Here is a 19,946-nt window from a genome sequence, read left to right on the forward strand (position 1 = left end):
TTTGTATTTGAAGATTGAATGGTAACTGGGAAAAATAGAGAAGGAAGCCATTGCTTAAACTATGCTTGAAAGTCACCAAAGCAGTGGGTTGGAATAGCATGTCCCAAAAGGCCACTTCACATCCTAAATAATAATGGAATAGGATAGGATTTCAGATAAGGAAGTAGGGAGGAAGTGGAAAATAATAAGGCTAAGAGAAAATCCAGTGTTAATAATGGAATTTAGTTAAGCATATTTTCCTTAGAGGAATCAAAAGGAAACAACATACAAGGAGGAGATGCTCACTCTCCCTTTATCTCTCACAGTTTTATAACCTCACCTGAATCTGTTCTTTCTGTACCCTAGACCTTCTAATGAATCAAGCTCAGCTCATTAACCACCTTCTTTGGTTCCACTGAGCCACGCTTTTTCAGACAATGTTGCTTTTTGTTCAGCATAAGTTCCTTCATCTAATTCTAATACCTGTTACTCATCCAGTGGCTAAATGTGGTAGCCAGACTCCAAGATGGCTCCCAGTGGTCCTTACCTCCCTCGTATTCATGCCTCTGTGTGGTCCCTTCCCACACTGTATCACACCGATTCATCTGACCAATAGAATACAGCAAAAGTGAAGATGTGTGACTTCTGAGGTTAGGTCATACAAGACATTGCTGTTTCTGCCTTTTTCTCTCTTGAACGGCCTGTTCTAGGGGAAGCCCCCATGTAGTGAGCACACTCAGGAAGCCTATGGAGAAGCCCACGTAGAAAGGAACCACGGCCTCCCGCCCAGAGCCATGTGAAGTGAATCCTCCAGCCCTAGTCATGCCTTTAGGTGGCTGCAGCCCAGCTGTCATCTTGACTGCAACCTCATAAGAGAACCTAACCCAGAATTACCTAGCTAAGCCATTCCTGAATTCCTGCCCATAGGAACTGGGCAGATAATTAAGGTGTGTTGTTATCTTACGTCATTAAGTTTGGGGGAATTTATTACATAGCAATAGTAATTTTACACTAGATTAGCTGTTTTTCTAAAAATATAACTTTCATCAAAGCTCCTTACATTCACTACCACCACCCAAATAGGTCCTTGCTCCTCGGTCATCAATGCTTATAATTAGCAAGTGTACTTTAAGTTCCTGAAGAGCAGCAGCTTCAGGAGCCTACTTTGAAAGCGCCACCTGCTGGTATTAACTTAATAGCTTCCCAAAGAAAGCTGGAATAATTCGTGCTGATTAAGTCAATGCTTAGGTGCGACAGCTTTTCATGGTAAACTCTGGCTTCTCATCTTACATTAATAACTCTTCTGAGAACCAGCTTCTTTGCTTCCTTGAGATAACAGCTGCTTTGCCTTCTTCTTAAGAATGCTGAAATGCGATCTTTCTTAGCACTGAAAATCACATAAACATTTATGGAGTTCTTATGATTACTCTTTCTAGGATTACTGTTTCTTGCTTTTCCAACTCTTTTCTTTCTGCTTCAATTATTTTTAAAAGAAGACATGCTAAAGTCTCTGTTTTTTACAAGAAAAAAAACCAGGTATCACAAAATCTTTGAATTTTTTTTTCCTTCCAAAATAACTGCCAAATCTCTCAAAACACTTAGTCTATCCCTCCCCACCCCACCCAGCTGACTCTAAGTAATTTTATTTCCCCCTATTTATCCTGAGACCCCTAGAATGCTTTCTGGATCTCTTCATAAAAGTTATATAGAAAATATTAAATTAATAAAATAATTGCCCAGCAGCAGAAGTCACTTGATGTTGGTTGGAATGATTCAGCATTATACTCATTTTACAGACAAAGAATCTGATAATCAGAAGGTCTGTATTGCTTCATTTAAAAATCCCAGAATCAGGTCGGGCGAAGTGGCTCACACCTGTAATCCCAGCACTTTGGGATGTCGAGGCAGGCAGATCACCTGAGGTCAGGAGTTCGACACCAGCCTGGCCAACACGGTAAAACCTTGTCTCTACTAAAAATACAAAAATTAGCTGGGTGTGGTGGTGGGCGCCTGTAATCCTAGCTACTCAGGAGGCTGAGGCAGGAGAATCACTTGAGCCCAGGACATGGAGGTTGTAGTGAGCGGAGATCGTGCCACTGCACTCCAGCCTGGGTGACACAGCGAGACTCTGTCTCAAAAATAATAATAAAAGCCCAGAATCACACACACAAAAAAGTAGCTCTGGCCACTTACATAATTTGAGTGATCTTGTGCAAGATAAAAATGTGGCATCTCTTATTCAAAAAAGCAGGAAAAATGCTGTTAAGGTATTAAAATATAAACATAAAGCCTTTTCCTCTACCTTGGCCAACATGGCAAAAACCCATCCCTACAAAAAATACAAAAATTAGCCGGGCGTGGTGGCATGTGCCTGAAACCCCGCTACTTGGGGCGCTGAGGCACGAGAATTGCTTGAAGCCAGGAGGTCGAGGCTGCAGTGAGCCAAGATCATACCACTGCACTCCAGCCTGGGCTACAGAGCAAGACTGTCTCAAAAAAAAGCCTTTTCCTTTCATCTGTAGTCTTTCCCTCAATTTGTCATGGTGCTTTTTAAGATTTGCTATTTAACATCATTGTAAATAAAGGGAAATTAATAACTTTAATTATTGGCATGACTTTTATCATTCATCTTCATATTGTGTACCAGTTTAAGCTGCAAATATAACAGCATTTCACTTGCATGTGCAATTGCCAAAATTACACCATTTGTATGTCATAGTTCATACATGTATATATATTCCATTCTTCCCAGAACAGTGGAAATTATGCACAAAACTAGCTCAGCTGTTTTTATTTTACTTTTTGATATGTGTATGTTCTACCCACACTCTCCACCTTTGCTTTCTGAGGACAAGGAAAGCCTGAAAGAAAAAGAAACTGTGAATTATCCTATCTTTCCCTTTCTTTCTATGTTATCATATTCAAGGTACACATAATAGTTCCCTAATACAAGGAAATACCATGAGTAAGAAAGGATATGATAAGGCTCCTTGTTTTTTTGTTGTTGTTGTTTTTCTTTTTTTCTTTTTTAGCATGCCTTCACCATCTTTCTGCACTCAAAACAAGTTCCTGTTCCAATGGAGAATGTGGTCTCTTCAGGCTGTCAGTGCCCCGGCTTGCTCAGCCACAGACATACTTTTCTTAATACTTTGTACTCACTTTGATTCCCACTAAACTTCTGCACCTTGTGAGCCCACTGGAATTCTGTGTTCACAGGGTATTGTGAATGCTCTGTGTGAATGAGGAGGCAAGGAATTGTGGACATAAATATCGTGCTGTCAGACTTCATTTATAAAAAACAAGCTCAAAGATAAAATTATTAATAAATGCAGGACAACAACAGAGCATTAAACCAAGTGTGGGGCCCTTCTGCGTGTGGGGTTTGGGGTGACTGCATAGGTTGCATGCTCATGAAGCCAGCTTTGGAGTAGCTAAGTCAGGAGTAAACTCATATCTGACTTCAAAGACAAATCTCTTAACACTTCACAAGGAATCTCCTCTAATAACACAAGGCAAGGTATTGGCAGAGTAAACAAAGAATGTCAAGAACATGAGAAAATTTTAAGACAACTAGATAACATCAAGCTGCTTCCCTTGGGTTCTGTGATCATTAGTGCTACGGTCTGAATGTTTGTGTCCTCTTGAAATTCTTATGTTGAATCTTAATCACCAAAGTGATGGTATTTACAGAATTTTTGGTTGACAGTCTTTTTCTTTCAGCACTTTGAATATATCATCTTTCTACTTAGTAGCCTCTGTGCTTTCTGATGAGAAATCAGCTGTTAATTTTACTGAGGATCCTTTGTACTATCATGTGTTGCTTTTCTCTTGTTATTTTCAAGATTATCTCTTCATCTTTGACACTTGACAGTTTTATTATGATGTAGTCAGGTGTGGTTCTCTTTGAGTTTATCATACTTGGAGTTCATTGAGTTTTCTTGAATGTGTGGATTAATGTGTCTCATCACATTTGAAAATTTTGACCATTAGTTCTTCAAATATTTTTTTCTGTCCTTTCCTCTCTCTCTCGTCTCCTTCTGGAACTCTCTTCATGCATATGTTGGTATGCTCGATGGTATACCAAAGGTCTGTCTTTATGTATATGTTTGTGTTTTCTATGGCATACCAGATGGTCTACAGGTCTGTTCATTTTTCTTAATCCTTTTTTCTTTCTGCTCCTCAGACTGGATAATCTCAATTGATCTATCTTCAAGTTCATTGATTCTTTTTTTCTCCCTGCTCAAATCTGCTGTTGAGTGTCCCTATTGAATTTTTTATTTCAGTTATTGTAGTTTTCAAATACAGAATTTCTATTTGGTTCTTATTTATAATTTTCGTCTTATTCTTTGTATGGTAAGACGTAGCTCTTACACTTCTCTTTAGTTCTTTAGATGTGGTTTCTTTTAGTTATTTGATCATACTGAAAATATCTCACGTAAAGTCCATATCTAGGAGATCAAGATTTCCTCAGGTGGTTTTTATTATATCTTTTCCTTGTATGGGCTACACTTTCCTGCATCTTTGCTTGTCTTGTAATTTTTTGTTAAAACTGGAATTTAAAAAATTTAAAATTAAATAATAGAATAGAGCAACCTGGAAAATTTGACCTGTAGGTTAGATTTGAACCTTAATTTAGAAATGCTTCTATTTTTATGCTGTAGTGGCAATGTGCAAAATGTTTTTGAAAAATTGTTTGCAGCAATATCCAGAAAGGTCATAGGACTGCAATGCTTTTCCATGAAGGTAACCCTTTAACCCTATGAAATAAGATATGATGGTCCCCATTTAACAGGATAAAAAGTTAGTGATTTATTCCAGTGAAAATTATAAAAAGATAAGGATGCAAAAATGCCTTCCAAAATCTAGTTAACTTTTAAAACTGGTGGTTATTCTGGGGAAAATGGGGAATATTATCCCATTAATGAATCTTGAGATATTTCTTTGTAAGAAGAATTATATCACTGCTTCTCATGAATCTCACCAGCATTGACCTATGACCCCCATCTCTTCCATTTCAGTTCTTTTAAATTTTACTTATTCACTTTGTTCTTGTTGTTCTTTTTATTTTTTGTTTTTTTAAATTATTCTTTTTTCCTTTTCCTACTCTATTTCTCATTTCCATTTCTTTTCTCTGTAATATATAATTGAGTATGATTTTATGTATTTGAGATTTTATGTTTTTCAATCTTAAGTTAACTTCACTTTTTTCATTTGTAGAATAGGAGATATTGTCTACTCTGTCCACCTAACAGGGTCGTTGTAAGTTTTAAACAATACTTGTTATAGCTCCAGAAAACTATAAACTAGCTTCTGTTGCTTCCTAGTTTATTTCTTTGAGTGTTTTGTTAACTTTCATATTGAAACTGTTAACAAAAATACATTTCCTGATAGTTCTTATTAGACCCCAAGATTTCAGTATTTCATCTGTGATAGAATTATTGCTGCAGATTTTCATATGTGATAGAATCTGATATTTTGAATGTCATTTTATACTTTTTCAAATGTTAGCAATTTTTATATTCTCTCATAAATTCCTCAAATAATTTATCAACTTTAATTTTGTATTTCTATCAATTAAATTTTTAAAATTTAAATTCAAAAGCATTGGTAAAATATCAGATCTTCTAAGTTTGACTTCTAAAGCTGAATGTCAATTAAATTAAATTTTAAACATATAGAGTTAAACTTAATTCAAACTACAAATTTGGAATCAAAAATATAAAATAGTCTGGGCACAGCAGCTCATGCCTGTAATCCCAGCTGAGGATTTGGGAGGCTGAGGAAGGCGGATCAGCTGAGGTCAGGAGTTCGAGACCAGCCTGGCTGACATGGTGAAACCCCGTCTCTACTAAAAATACAAAAATTAGCCAGACATGGTGGCGGTGCCTGTAATAAATATCCCAGCTACTCAGGAGGCTGAGGCAGGAGAATCGCTTGAATCCAGGAGGCAGAGGTTGCAGTAGGCCAAGATTGTGCCACTGTACTGCAGCCTGGGTGACAGAGTGAGACTCCATCTAAAAAAATATATATATATATATATGAAAGTATAAAGTTAAATTTAGCTTTAAATTTAAAAACATTCTAAAGAAATCAGAATTAGCTGAAATCATCCCAGTATAAATTAGTATAAACTGAAAAATCCCCACAGGAACATTCCATCAAAGAGGACAAAAAGATTCTTGATAAAGCTGGTCCTCCTTTCAGTTTATAAATTTTGGATAGTCAGGGAGGAGGACATTAATCCATGGATCTACAGCCAATATATTTTTATAGGTAGAGAAAATTGCGGAGAAAATTGCTGGAAGGATATAAAAATAGTAAACAATGACAATATCTTGGAAAGCAGTTAGGTGGCAGGGCCAAGGGCTTTTACCTTATACTTCACATTCCTCTATACAGCATTACTTTTTTTGTTTTGTTTTGTTTTGAGACAGCTTTCTGCTGTCACCCAGGCTGGAGTGCAGCAGTGCAATCACAGCTCATTGCAGCCTCAAACTCCTTGATCACAGCTCACTGCAGCCTCGAATCGCTCAAGCGATTCTCCCAACTCAGCCTCCAGAGTAACTGGGACCACAGGCACATGCCACCACACCTGGCTAATTTTTATTTTTATTTTGTAAAGACAGGATTTTGCCATGTTTTCCTAGCTGGTCTGGACCTCCTGAGCTCAAGGGATCCACCCACCTCGGTCTTCCAAAGTGCTGAGATTACAGGTGTGAGCCACTGCGCCCAGCCCAGCATTACTTTTATAATAAAAACTAGTATAATTTTTAATAAAAGGGTAAAGAAGAAGGATATACCCAAGATAATCAGCAAAAAGCTGAAAAGGATGTAAAGAAACTGTAAGAAAACATATTCAATAGAAAATGTAAAAGAACAGGAATAAGTACAAATGCAACAAACTTGAATGGGCTTAAAATATTCTATTAAAAGTTAGACATTTTTGAAACAGCCAAAGAACAAAAAAAAATGCAGCAACAGGTTGGGCGCGGTGTCTCACGCCTGTAATCCCAGCATTTTGGGAGGCCGAGGCAGGCAGATCATGAGGTTAGGAGTTCAAGACCAGCCTGGCCAATATGGCGAAACCCCATCTCTACTAAAATACAAAAATTAGCCGGGAGTGGTGGTGTGCACCTGTAGTCCCAGCTACTCAGGAGGCTGAGGCAGAAGAATCACTTGAACCCGGGAGGCAGAGGTTGCAGTGAGCCGAGATCATGCCACTGCACTCCAGCCTGGGCGACAGAGCGAGACTCCATCTTAAAAAAAAAAAAAAAAAAAAAAGGTATACATCACCACTAAATGATATAGAAAGACTGAAAATTAAAAAAAAGAAAACCATATGTCAGGCAAGTACTGACAAAATTCAAGCTAGTAGAGAACTAATAACTTTAGGTAAACAGAACTCACAACTTTAAGTGAGCAAAGAGAAATATTTAATGTGGAGAATAATTATTATTTACTAAAAAGTTGCAACAGTCATAGCCTTCATGCACTTACGAACATAGCTTTGGGCCAGTTGTGGTGGGTCATGCCTGTAATCCCAGCACTTTGGGAGGCTGAGGTGGACAGATCACCTGAGGTCGGGAGTTCGAGATCAGACTGGCCAACATGATGAAACCCCATCTCTACTAAAAATACAAAAAAAAAATTAGCCGGGCGAGGTGGTGCGTGCCTGTAATCCCAGCTACTCAGGAGGCTGAAGCAGAAGAATCGCTTAAACCTGGGAGGTGGAGGTTACAGTGAGCCCAGATTACGCTACTGCACTCACTCCAGCCTTGGGCGACAGAACAAGACTCTGTCTCAAAAAAAGAAAAAAAAAAAAAACAAAAACACATGATCATCTCAGCTGACACAGAAAAAGCATCTTACAAAGTTCAACATCCTTTATTAATAAACAGTCTCAACAGTTTGGGTATAAAATGAAAATTCCTGGCTGGGCATGATGGCTCATGCCTGCAATCTCAATACTTTGGGAGGCTGAGGTGGGAGGATCACTTGAGGCCAGAAATTGGAGACCAGCCTGGGCAATGCTGCAAGACCCCATCTTGACAATAATTATTTTTAAATTAGCCAGGCATGGTAGCACATACCTGTAGTCCCAGTTACTCAGGAGATTGAGGCAGGAGAATCGCTTGGTCCCAGAAGGTCAGGGCTGCAGTGAGCCATAATTGCACCATTGCACTTCAGCCTGGGTGATAGAGTAAAACTCCATCTCAAAAAAAAAAATAGGCAGGGCGCGGTGGCTCACGCCTGTAATTCCCACACTTTGAGAGGCCAAGGTGGGCGGATCATGAGGTCAAGAGATTGAGACCATCCTGATGAACATGGTGAAACCCTGTCTCTACTAAAAATACAAAAAAAATTAGCTGGGCGTGGTGGTGCGTGCCCATAGTCCCAGCTACTTGGGAGGCTGAGGCAGGAGAATCACTTGAACTCGGGGGGTGGAGATTGCAGTGAGCCGAGATCGCGCCACTGCATTCGCAGCTTGGTTGGTGACAGAGTGAGGCTCCATCTAAAAAAAAAAAAAAAAAGAGGAAAATTCCTCAACATTTGAAACATATGGTATGGTTTGGCACTGTGTCCCTACGCAAATCTCATGTCAAACTGTAATCCCCACGTGTCAGGGAAGGTACCTGGTGGGAGGTGGGTGGATCATGGGGGCAGTTTCCCCATGCTGTTCTTACCATAGGGAGTAAGTTCTCATGAGAGCTGATGGTTTAATAGTGTGGCACTTCCCCTCTCCTCCTGCTGCTTCAAAAGATGTGCCTTGCTTCCCCTTTGCCTTCCACCATAATTTTAAGTTTCCTGAGGCCTCCCCAGCCATGTGAAACTGTGAGTCAATTAAACCTCTCTTCTTTATAAATTACTCAGTCTCAGTAATTACTTTATAAATTACTCAGTTCTTTATAGTAGGGTAAAAATGGACTAATACAACATAATAAAGGCTATTTATGAGAAGCCTGCAGCGCACATTATCATCAATGGAAAAAACCTAAAAACTTTTCCACTAAGATCTGGTACAATGCAAGGATCCCAAACTTACCACTTCTAATCAACATAGATTGGAAGAACTAGCAAGTGCAATTAGATAAGAAAAAGAAATAAAAGACATCAAAAATCAGAAAGGAAGAGGTAAAATTATTTCTATTTGCAGATGACATAATTCTATATGTAGAAAACCCCAAAGATTCCACAAAAATATATTAGAAACTAGTAAATGAATTCAGTAAAGTTGCAGAGTACAAAACCAACATACAAAAATCAGTAGTGTTTCTATACACAAACAACAAATGAGCTAAAAAAGAAATCAAGAAGGCAATCTCATTTACAATAGCTATTAAAAAAACACCTAGGAATAATTTTAAGCATGGATGTAAAAGACTGCTACAAGGAAAACTACAAAACACTGATGGAAGAAATTGAAGAGGGTACAAACAAATGGAAAGACATCTCACTTTTCATGGATCAGAAGAATCAATATTATTAAAATGACCATACTACTCAAAACAATCTACAGATTCAATGCAATCTCTATCAAAATACCAATGATTTTCTTCACAGAAATAGGAAAAAAATCTCAAAATTTTTATGGAACCACAAAGGAACCCAAATGGCCAAAGCAATCCCGAACAAAAAGAACAAAGCTAGAGGCATCACACTAACAGTCTTCAAAATATACTACAAAGCTGTAGTAACCAAAATAGCATGATATTGTCATAAAAACAGATAGCCAGACAAATGAAACAGCATAGAGGACTCAGAAATTAATCCATGGATCTACAGCCAACTGGTTTTTTGACAAAGATGTCAAGAACACTCACTGGGGAAAGAATAGTCTCTTTAATAAATGGTCCTGGGAAAACTGGATATCCATATACAGAAGAATGAAACTAGATCCCTACATCTCCCCCTATATAAAAACCTTGTACGTGAGTTTATATATAAATCAAAATGGATCAAAGACCTAAATGTAAGACAGAAACTATAAAACTACTAGAAGAAAACATAGGGGAAATGGTTCCGGACACTGGTCTAGGAAAGATTTTATGAATAAGACCTCAAAAATGCAGGCAACAAAAACAAAAATAAACATATGGGATTATATCAAACTAAAAGGCTTCTGCACAACAAAGGAAGCAATCAACATAGTGAAGAAACAACCCAGAGAATGGGAGAAAATATTTGCAAACTATTCATATAACAGGGAATTAATATCTGGAATACACACGGAACTCAAACATCTCAACAACAAAATTGTATAAAAATGGACAAATAATCTGAATAGACACTTCTCAAAAAGAAGACATACAAATGACCAACAAATATATGAAAAAATGCTCACCATCATCAATCATCAGGGAAATGCAAATCTGCAAATCAAAACCACTATGAGGTATAATCTCACCCCAGTTAGGATGGCTATTATCAAGACAGCAAACAACAAATGCTGGGGAGGATGTGGAGAAAAAGAAACTCTTTTTTTTTTTTTTGGTTTCTGTTGCCCAGGCGGCATTGCAGTGGCATGATGATAGCTCACTGCAGCCTCAATCTCCCAGGCTCAAGCAATCCTCCCACTCAGCCTCCCAAGTAGCTAGGACTACAGACAAGTGCCATCACACCCAGCTAATGGTTTTGATTTTTAGTAGAGATGAGGTCTCACTATCTTCTCCAGGCTGGTATTGAACTCCTAAGCTGAAGAGATCCTCCCACCTCAGCCTCCCAAAGTGCTGGGATTACAGGTGTGAGTCACCTTGCCCAGCCAGAAAAAGGGACTCATACACTGTTGGTGGAATGTAAACTAATATATCCACTATGGAGAACAGTGTGGAAGTTCCTCAAAAAAACTACAAATAGAACTACCATATGATCCAGCAATCCTACTACTTGGCATTTATCCAAAGGAAAAGAAATCAGTATATCAAAGACACGTCTGCATCCCCATGTTTATTGCAGCACTATTCATAATAGCCAAGACATGGAATCAACCTAGGTGTCCAACAGATGAATGGATAAAGAAAATGTGGGCCAGACGTAGTGGCTCATGCCTGTAATCCCAGCACTTTGAGAGGCCGAGGCAGGTGGATCACCTGAGGTCAGGAGTTCGAGACTAGCCTGACCAACATGGAGAAACCCCATCTCTACTAAAAATACAAAATTAGCTGGGTATGTTGGCAGGCGCCTCTAATCCCAGCTACTCGGGAGGCTGAGGCAGGAGAATCGCTTGAACCTAGGAGGCAGAGGTTGCGGTGAGCTGAGATCATGCCATTGCACTGCAGCCTGGGCAACAAGAACAAAATTCTGAAAGAAAGAAAGAAGGAAGGAAGGAAGGGTGATATATATATATATATATATATATATATATATATATATATATGTATGTATATTCTGTATGTGTATATATATATGTATATTCTGTATGTGTATATATATGTGTGTGTGTGCGTATTCATATATATATACATACATACTTACAATGGAATACTATTCAGCCATAAAAAAGAATGAAATACTGTAATTCACAGCAACACGGATGGAAATGGAAGACAGTATATTACGTGAATAAGCCAGGAACAGTAAGTTAAATGCCACATGTTCTCAGTCATATGTCGAAGCTGAAAAATGTTGATCTCATAGGAGTAAACAGTAGAACAGAGGATACTAAAGGTTGGGAAGGGTAGCAGGGGGAAGGGAAGGAGAGAAAGATATCTTAAAGGATACAAAATTATAGCTAGATAGGAGCAATAAGTTCTAGTGTTCTATACTTACTATAGGATGAGGATAGTTAACAATAATATATTATATAGTTTCAAATAGCTAGAAGGAGGGTATGAAATCTTCCTAAAATAAACATATGATGTTTGGGATGATGGATATGCTAATTACTCCAACCACTATACATTTATATGTATTAAAACATCACTATGTATCCCATAAATATGTACAGTTACTACATGTCATTTAAAAATAAAAATTAAGGTTGGGTATGGTGACTCACACCTACAAACCTAGCACTTTGGGGGACCAAGGCAAGCGGATACTTGAGGCCAGGAGTTGAAGACCAGCCTGATCAACATGGTGAAGCACTGTCTGTACTAAAAATACACACACATACACAAAAATAGCTGGGCGTGGAGTCACACACCTGTAATCACAGCTACTGGGGAGGCTAAGGCACAAAAATTGTTTGAACCCTGGAGGTGGAGGTTGCAGTGAGCCATGATCGTGCTACTGCACTCCAGCCTGGGCAACAGAGTGAGACTCTGTCTCAAAAAAACAAAAACAAGAACAAAAAACAAAACACACCAACAAAAACAAAAAAAAATAAATGAATAAAAATTAAAAAAAAATCAGGCTGGGCATGCTGGCTCATGCGTGTAATCCCAGCACTTTGGGAGGTTGAGGTGGGAGGATCGCTTGAGCCCAGGAGTTTAAGACCAGCCTGGGCAACACAGCAAGACCCCATCTTTACAAAAAGTTTAAAAATTAGCTAGGTGTGGTGGTGCACACCTATAGACTGAGCTATTTGGGAGGCTGAGGGAGGAGGATCACTTGAGTCTGAGAAGTCAAGGCTGCAGTGAGTTATGATTGTGTCACTGCACTGAAACCTGGGTGACAGAGTGAGACCTTGTCTTAAAAAACAAAACAACAAAATCACACTGGCCAGTCACAGAAAGAAATGGCAATAATGAAAGTTGCCATCCCTGTCTGACAAACTAGTCTGTTTCTTCTCTAAAACAAATTCGCAAAATGATTAAACTGGGTTGCAAAAAGCTGAGGGAAGTTTAAACAGAATAGCTTTGCTATCATTTGGAAAAAAGACTGAGTAAAAGCTTGGTCACCCTGACGTGGCTAATATTTGTATTGTAAATGCAACTCAGAGTACATTCTTCATAATATCAGATAAAGAAAAATAGTGTGGAACGCGAGTTGTCTGCGTTACTTTCGTATTCTCACTTCTGCTTTGGAGAAGGAAGTTCTTTTAGCATGCTAAGAGAGACAGTTAATATTCAAATTAACTGGAGAAAGGTCTCTCCTTTGAAGTCTCTAGCTTCGTTAGAGATGATGCTAGACACCAGCAGAGGTCTGTATGAGGAGGAAAAGGGGGCAACATGGGACCGGTGAGTGCCCATCCGCGGCTAACTGGATACGGACTGAGAGATCACCCAAGAGAAAAGTGTTTTGCGCCACCCTCTGGACTTTTTATGTATATTTGATGGCTATTAATTGATACTAATATGATTGATAATGAACTACATCAGCACACCACGGCTTGATAATGGATCCCACGTGAATACCATTACAGACTTTGAGGGACACAGCAATGAGGTTACGCAATAAATCTAAGTTTCTGGGTACAAGAAACCGAAACGATGGGTGTCAAAACATATGCAAATAGAACTGAAACTCAGCAACGTACACATTCCAATCTAATAAATATCACCTGAACTTCGATTAAAAATGAATGTAATCTCGGCAGGGCGCGGTGGCTCACGCCTGTAATCCCAGCACTTTGGGAGGCCGAGGCGGGCGGATCACGTGAGGTCAGGAGATTGAGACCAGCCTGACCAACATGGTGAAACTCTGTTTCTACTAAAATACAAAAATTAGCTGGCCTTGGTGGTGCGTGCCTGTAATCCCAACTCCTCGGGAGGCTGAGGCAGGAGAATCGCTTGAACCCGGGAGGCGGAGGTTGCACTGAGCCGAGATCCTGCCACTGCACTCCAGCCTGGGTGACAGAGCCAGACTCTGTTCAAAAAATTAAAAAAAAAAAAAAAAAAAAGAAAAGAAAAAAAATGAATGTAATCTCCTCTTAAGTGGAGCTTTTCAAAAATTCTGCGTTTAAACTCCAAGGGCTTCGTTCTGTGTCGTGTAAATAGTTGGGGAGAGGACAGCACCATTCACTTAAATGTCAATGGGAATCACATTTAAGTAAAAGGAAAAGGAAATCAGTAAATCAAAGTAAATCAAAGACACATCTGCATCCCCATGTTTATTGCAGCTTATTCCCTGTTGGACGTCCCCTGAATTTCCTATAGAGGTGAAGCCATCTCTGCCTTAAGGAAAAATGAAGTGCCTAATACTGCTTATAATATGGTCCCTTTTCCAGATTTAGCTTCTCCACCCCAGATTTTTGCACAAGCCATACTGAACTACTTCATGTTTCCATACTCATGTTTTGTTCCAGCCACACTGAATTACTTAACATTCAGCACATTGCCAAGCTCTTTTCCCCCGCTTCCGGGGTTTGCACAAGTTGTTCCCTTTGCCAAGCAAATTCTTCCCCACCTCCCTACTCCTTGCCTAAACTCTTCTTTTGGGCGTAGAAAGAAGTATTGCTTCTGGGTAACCTTTGTCTAATAATGAAATATCTAAGACATATTGAGAACTTACTATGGGTCCCTCACTGTTCTAAGTTCTTTCACAGAGATTCACTTTTATAATTATCAGGAAAACTGGACTTTTTTTTTTTTTTTTTTTTTTTGAGATGGAGTCTCGCTCTGTCGTCCAGGCTGGAGTGCAGTGGCGCGATCTCGGCTCACTGCAACCTCCGCCTCCCGGGTTCAAGCGATCCTCCTGCAGCCTCTCAAGCAGCTGGGATGACAAGCGTGCGCCACCACGCCCGGGTAATTTTTGTATTTTTAGTAGAGACGGCGTTTCACCTTGTTGGCCAGGCTGATCTTGAATTCCTGACCTCAAGTGATCCTCCCACCTTGGTCTCCCAAAGTGCTGGGATTACAGGCATGAGCCACAGCGCCCGGCCAGGATTCACTTTTATAATTATCAGGAAAACTGTAGGAAGTGTTAATAGGTAAAAGGACCTCATTTCATAGATAAGGAAACTGAGACACAGAGAGAGAGGGAGTTTCTAAAAGTGTTATACAGGTGGCCTATAAACTCTGTAGTGAAGAAAGGAAATGAAGACAGGATAGAATGATCGCGAGAAAATGGTAAGAACAAGGGACTGGAAGACGCAAGGAAGTTTAGAAATACGCTGGCATAGGGGTCTTTTGAGCAGGCACGCTGCTAAGATGATAGGATTATAGTCAAGGATGGGGAGCGATTGCACTGGGGATTTCTGGAGCGGGTGCAGCCTCTGATGGTAACATGGTCCAGGGTATACCTTCAAAACGGGAGGCTACTGGAGTGAAAGGCGTCAATGGTGATAACACTTTAAAAAAAACTTCAGTGTTTCCCTAGCATCCAGCCCAGTATCTGCTAAATTCTTTAAAATATCTGTTGAATGCATGTCGTGAACGCCGTGCTCATGGGCAAGCCCCAGATGAAGCCTGTGCAAGTGCTTCTTGCTTTAACTCCCTTGTAGCAATCAGAGGAACATCCTCTGCCTAGGATTCCCAAGCTCCCTGAACCTCACGCGACAGCTGGAGCCCAGGCTGCGTCCGCTTTGAGGTTCATCCGAGCCTGGGCAGTTCGGTCCCTGGAGGGAATTCGCTTTAGATACGACTGTCAGAGAGAAGTGTGCTGATAAGAACACTCGCTCATAGCGCGCAAGCATCAGAAGTGGGGGAGGCCGGGGAGGCGCTGCGCCGGTGCCTCAGGCCGTCCTCGGACACAGGCCCTGAGAAGCGTGTCCGTGTTTCAGAGGGTGGCGGCGGCAGCTTTGTCTCAGCGAAGGCCACAGCACTGCGGGCAGCTGCCGCATGAAACCTCGGCTCCCCCTGACTCTGCACCCGACACTTCACCTGCAACGCAATCCGAAGGCGAAGGCACCGCATCCCGTCGGCCCCGCGCGGCCGGAAGCCTCGCGCCCAAGACTCCCCGGCATCCTAGCGCGCTGGCTGCAAAAGAGGCGGGAAACGCCTCCGCGTCCCTTCCAACAGTACCGGAGAGGGAGAGGGGCGTGGCTGAGACTAGCCCCGACCACGCGCGCGCGGCCCCTCGGCAACCGGCACAACACAACAAAATGGCTGCCGCGCCGCTGGGCCCCTGAGGAAAGAGCCCGAACTTCTCCCGCTCTACCTCAGCCTGCGGGACTGCTCGGCTCGGCTTCTAGGCGGTGAGCGTCAGACCTGGCCGAGCCCGTTCCCCGGCATCCGGCCCGAGCAGTGGGGGCCGGCGGCAAAGGCGGGAAGGCCCGGACCGGGCGTGGTGTGGGCCGGCTTGGGATGGATTCGGGGCGGGGGCGCGTGTCTGGGAATTGGGATTGGACGGGAAAGAGGGGAGGGCCCGGAACGGGCGTGGGGCGGTGGATGAAGGAGGGAGGTTTGGATGGGAAGAGGTGGGGACGGCGGGGGCGATTGGGGATGAAGAACCAGAGTGTGGGGAGGTGTGGAAGTTAGGGTGCGGCGCCCAGAAGGTTGTGGGTCCTGCCACCTGAGCTGAGGGGAGAGCTGGGATGTGCCAGCTGTCTGTGGGGAGTGAGCGGGAGAAAGGACAGTTTGGGCGTCCTGACGGGTTGTCACGGTATCGGACGGAGTACAGTGCGTGGAGAAAGATGACAGGATATGGGGACGAAATGCTAAAAGAAGGGGAAGAACAAACACTTCCGTTATATTCGTTAAGGGACTAGAGAATTTTGAAGCCAGACAAACTTGGGTTGAAGCCTCAATTCTGCCACCTTGTGTAACTTAACCAGGTCTGTGACCCTGGATATGTGTCTGAGCCTTCCTGATCATGTTTCCTCATTTGTCCAAATAATTGCGAATCATTTTTGGGTGTTCACTATTTGTCAGATCCAGTTTTAAGCACTTTGCACGTATTAACCTCATTTAGAATTTAAAATAACTTGTATGAGGTTATCATCCCCATTTAAAAAGTGATAGCACTGAGGACCAGAGAGGTTAAGTAATTTGCCTAAGATCACACAGTAAGTGGAAAATCAGAATTTGAACTCAGGCTGTTTCGTTCCAGAATCCAAGCTTTTAACTGTTCAGGTACATTGCCATTTGTAAATCAGGTTAATAATTCTGATCCTATACAGCTAAATCTTTGAGGATTTAAATTTGGTATTGTCTAAGTGTTTAGTACAGTCCTTCAGTCAACAAATATTTATTGTTTATAGAACAACAGACAAAACCTCTGCTCTCTTGTAGCTTATAGTCTAGAAGGAGAAACAGGCAACAACCAAGTAGTTTCACAAATAATGGTTATAAAATGCTATGAAGGAGACTGCTTGGTGCAGAGATCATGGGTAATAGGGAGATAAAATCTTCTGCATCTTGAGCTTAGATTCTAGCATGGTTCTTCCTACATAAAAGTTGCTCAATAAAATTGAATAATTAATGGAAAGAGATGGGAAGCTTGAGTTTTAGGGTATCTGAGCAGAAGAAGAGAGATGGGAGAGGGGATTCAGGCTTTTAATAGGATGGAGAAGGATACGGGGGCTAGAGTATTAGGATGGAAAGGCAAATAGGCAGGCAGTTGGGTTGGGATGAAGAGGAATGGATGGAGGTTTGAGTATTTTGTTTAGGGAGGGGAGTAATTGGAGGTCAGAGTATTGGAACGCATTAGGATGTCAGGGTATTTTCTGGGGTGAAGAGAGATGAGCAGCTTGGGAAGTCTGGATGGATAGAGAAATGTTGAGTCTGGGCACAGGAAAGAACCATAGAGAAATGGGGGAGACTATTACTGTGTTAGGGAACTGGGATAGAATTTGTGGGAAAATTGGCAATCAGAATGGGATAAAGAAGAATGGGAGGCAGAGGTGGGTGGGCAGCACAGAATGGGGGAATTGGCTTTGGAAAGAAAAATGGCTGGAGACTTTGCAGAGGAATCGGAATCAGGATATTTGAAAGGAGGAGAAGATTAAGGAGTAAAAGTATTTCAGTAGGTCAGAGGGTATGGGATGAAGTAGACTTGGAAAGTACTGAAATCCAATTAAAGGGCTAAGGAGAGGGATATGGGGGTTAATAAATGGGGATGGGTATTTGCATATTAGGGAGTCTGTAGAGAGACAGAAGGAGGTCTGCGTTATTTGGAGATCAGAGAAGATGGGAAGTTAGGAAGGTTAGGAAAGGCTGGATGGAGGTGGAGTTTGCAGTCTGTACTAAGCTGTGATGGACTGAATTGTTAGATCAGAGCAACTATCTGGGTTTATAGGTGGCAGGATGGGTAGTGTTTTGTTGCCTGGACGTAGGATTCTGATTATCATGTCATTCCAATGGCTTTCTCTTGCTCTGCAGACAGCCTTTAAAATACAACTGCAGCTCTGAACTTTATTTGCTTTTTTTTTCTCTTTATCCTGCTCCTTTACTCGCCCTAGCCTACCTCTCAGTTGTCTTCATTTTTCCATTGCTTGCTTGGTCTTTGTTCATGTGATTGCAAACAACATCCTAGATCAAACTACATCCTCATCTCTCCATTAAAATTATAATTCAGCATTTACCACCTCCAGGCAGTAGCCTAAGAAATAATGCCAGCCATTCTCAAACACTGTAAACCCCTAAGCCCACTTCACTGAGTTAGCTATTCTCTGAGACTGATTACGTCTATCTTGTTTCAGTGTCCAAGCTTTACAGAAGCTGTGGCAACCAAGGGTTTAAGTCTATGAATGAGTAAGCCTGACTTTTACTAATCAGGAGAGGTAATAAAGGACCTCATGATAGTCTGGTGAGACCTAAAGGGTCTTGATCATTAGGATGTAAAAACTACAGGCTGGGCACAGTGGCTCACACCTGTAATCCCAGCACTTTGGGAGGCTGAGGCAGGAGGATCACTTGAGCCCAGGAGTTCAAGACCAACCTGGGAACTATAGTGAGACCCCCCATCTCTACAAAAAATAAAAAATTAGCCAAGCGTGGTTATATGCGCCTGTAGTCCCAGCTACTCAGGAGGCTGAGGTAGGAGGATCACTTGAGCCCAGGAAGGCAAGGTTGCTGTGAGCCATGAGCATGCCACTACACTCCAGCCTGGGTGACAGAGAAAGACCTTGCCTCAGGGGGGAAAAAAACGCCAACTACGTACTATACATACTATAATAAATGTCATCTTTTAATCCATTTAATTAGGAATAAGATTTTACCTAAGCACATGCCTCTTAGCTTTTCTCAAATTTTAGAGTATTATCCTTATTTAGAAGGAGAATGCCAGTGCAGCTTAGCAGCATCAATAGTATTACTGAGGGCTGGGCATGGTGGCTGTAATCCCAGCACTTTGGGAGGCCGAGGTGGGTGGATCACCTGAGGTCAGAAGTTTGAGACCAGCCTGGCCAGCATGGCAAAACCTCATCTCTACTAAAAATAAAAAAAATTAGCCGGGCGTGGTGCTGTGCACCTGTAATCCCAGTTACTCAGTAGGTTGGGGCGGGACAATCACTTGAACCTGGGAGGCGGAGGTTATAGTGAGCCGAGATCACACCACCGCACTCCAGCCTGGGCAACAGAGCAGGACTCTGTCTCAAAAAAAGAAAAAAATAGTATTACTGAGACTACAGATTAAACTCAATTTCTCCCACTATACGCTCACAACATGATTCCGTAGGATTTTCCCCCACACATTAAGCAAGCAGTTAGTTCTGCAGTGGTGGGCACCACAGGACTGTCCTCTAGTTCAGTTCAATTCTGACACTGTCTACCTGGAGACAGCGTCACATCCCTAAGGTTGAAGGCTGGCTTACAAGACTGCCCCCAAGTTCTGATGCCAACTGTAAGCCTCAGTTTTACCTGTGCTTCTGACTGACCAGCTATAAATCAGAGTTCCCACAACTCCCTCCTTGGGTTTGATTAATTTGCTAGAGCAGCTCACAGAATTCAGGGAGCACTTACTTACATTTACTGGTTTATTATAAAAGATATTACAAAGGATATAGGTGAAAAGATGCATAGCGTAAGGCAGGTGGGAAGGGGCGTAGAGCTTCCACACCCTCTCTGGGTGGATTCCCCTCCAGGACCCTCCCTGTGTCCAGCTTTCTGGAGGCTCCCCAAACCCAGTCTTTTAACTTTTTATGGAGGCTTCATTATGTAGGCCTGATTGATTACATCATTGGCCATTGGTGATCAACTCAACCTTTA

At 41.6% G+C, this 19,946-nt stretch overlaps 2 protein-coding genes across 41 annotated transcripts in view, besides 5 other annotated features; one reads left to right on the plus strand and one right to left on the minus strand.

Moving 5' to 3' along the window:
- C5 (complement C5) overlaps positions 1-15,792 on the minus strand; it is a 122,531-nt gene extending 106,739 nt beyond the window's left edge. The window contains exon 1 of the mRNA NM_001317163.2: positions 15,681-15,792. Coding sequence (NP_001304092.1) covers positions 15,681-15,763 — 83 coding nt within the window. The 5' untranslated portion in view covers positions 15,764-15,792. The remainder of the gene's footprint in view (positions 1-15,680) is intronic.
- Positions 13,054-13,103: an enhancer, noted in NCBI's record as "active region_28914". NCBI's record gives its function as "activates an Ori minimal core promoter by ATAC-STARR-seq in GM12878 lymphoblastoid cells {active_cell/tissue: GM12878}" and the evidence as "EXISTENCE:reporter gene assay evidence [ECO:0000049][PMID:35858748]".
- Positions 15,146-15,342: a silencer, noted in NCBI's record as "fragment chr9:123836497-123836693 (GRCh37/hg19 assembly coordinates)". NCBI's record gives its function as "represses an EF-1alpha promoter that drives an FKBP-Casp9 reporter gene in an ReSE screen in both phorbol 12-myristate 13-acetate-treated (for megakaryocytic differentiation) and untreated K562 erythroleukemia cells {active_cell/tissue: K562 | K562(+PMA)}" and the evidence as "EXISTENCE:reporter gene assay evidence [ECO:0000049][PMID:32094911]".
- Positions 15,457-15,846: an enhancer, noted in NCBI's record as "active region_28915". NCBI's record gives its function as "activates an Ori minimal core promoter by ATAC-STARR-seq in GM12878 lymphoblastoid cells {active_cell/tissue: GM12878}" and the evidence as "EXISTENCE:reporter gene assay evidence [ECO:0000049][PMID:35858748]".
- CNTRL (centriolin) overlaps positions 15,882-19,946 on the plus strand; it is a 102,656-nt gene continuing 98,591 nt past the window's right edge. For all 40 annotated transcript variants that reach the window (XM_047422667.1, XM_047422671.1, XM_047422669.1 and 37 more), the window contains exon 1: positions 15,882-15,994. The gene's annotated coding sequence lies outside the window, so the exon portion shown is untranslated. The remainder of the gene's footprint in view (positions 15,995-19,946) is intronic.
- Positions 15,967-16,026: a silencer, noted in NCBI's record as "silent region_20229". NCBI's record gives its function as "represses an Ori minimal core promoter by ATAC-STARR-seq in GM12878 lymphoblastoid cells {active_cell/tissue: GM12878}" and the evidence as "EXISTENCE:reporter gene assay evidence [ECO:0000049][PMID:35858748]".
- Positions 16,147-16,286: a silencer, noted in NCBI's record as "silent region_20230". NCBI's record gives its function as "represses an Ori minimal core promoter by ATAC-STARR-seq in GM12878 lymphoblastoid cells {active_cell/tissue: GM12878}" and the evidence as "EXISTENCE:reporter gene assay evidence [ECO:0000049][PMID:35858748]".

This window comes from Homo sapiens, chromosome 9, assembly GCF_000001405.40.
Source record: "Homo sapiens chromosome 9, GRCh38.p14 Primary Assembly".
Lineage (NCBI taxonomy): Eukaryota > Metazoa > Chordata > Mammalia > Primates > Hominidae > Homo > Homo sapiens.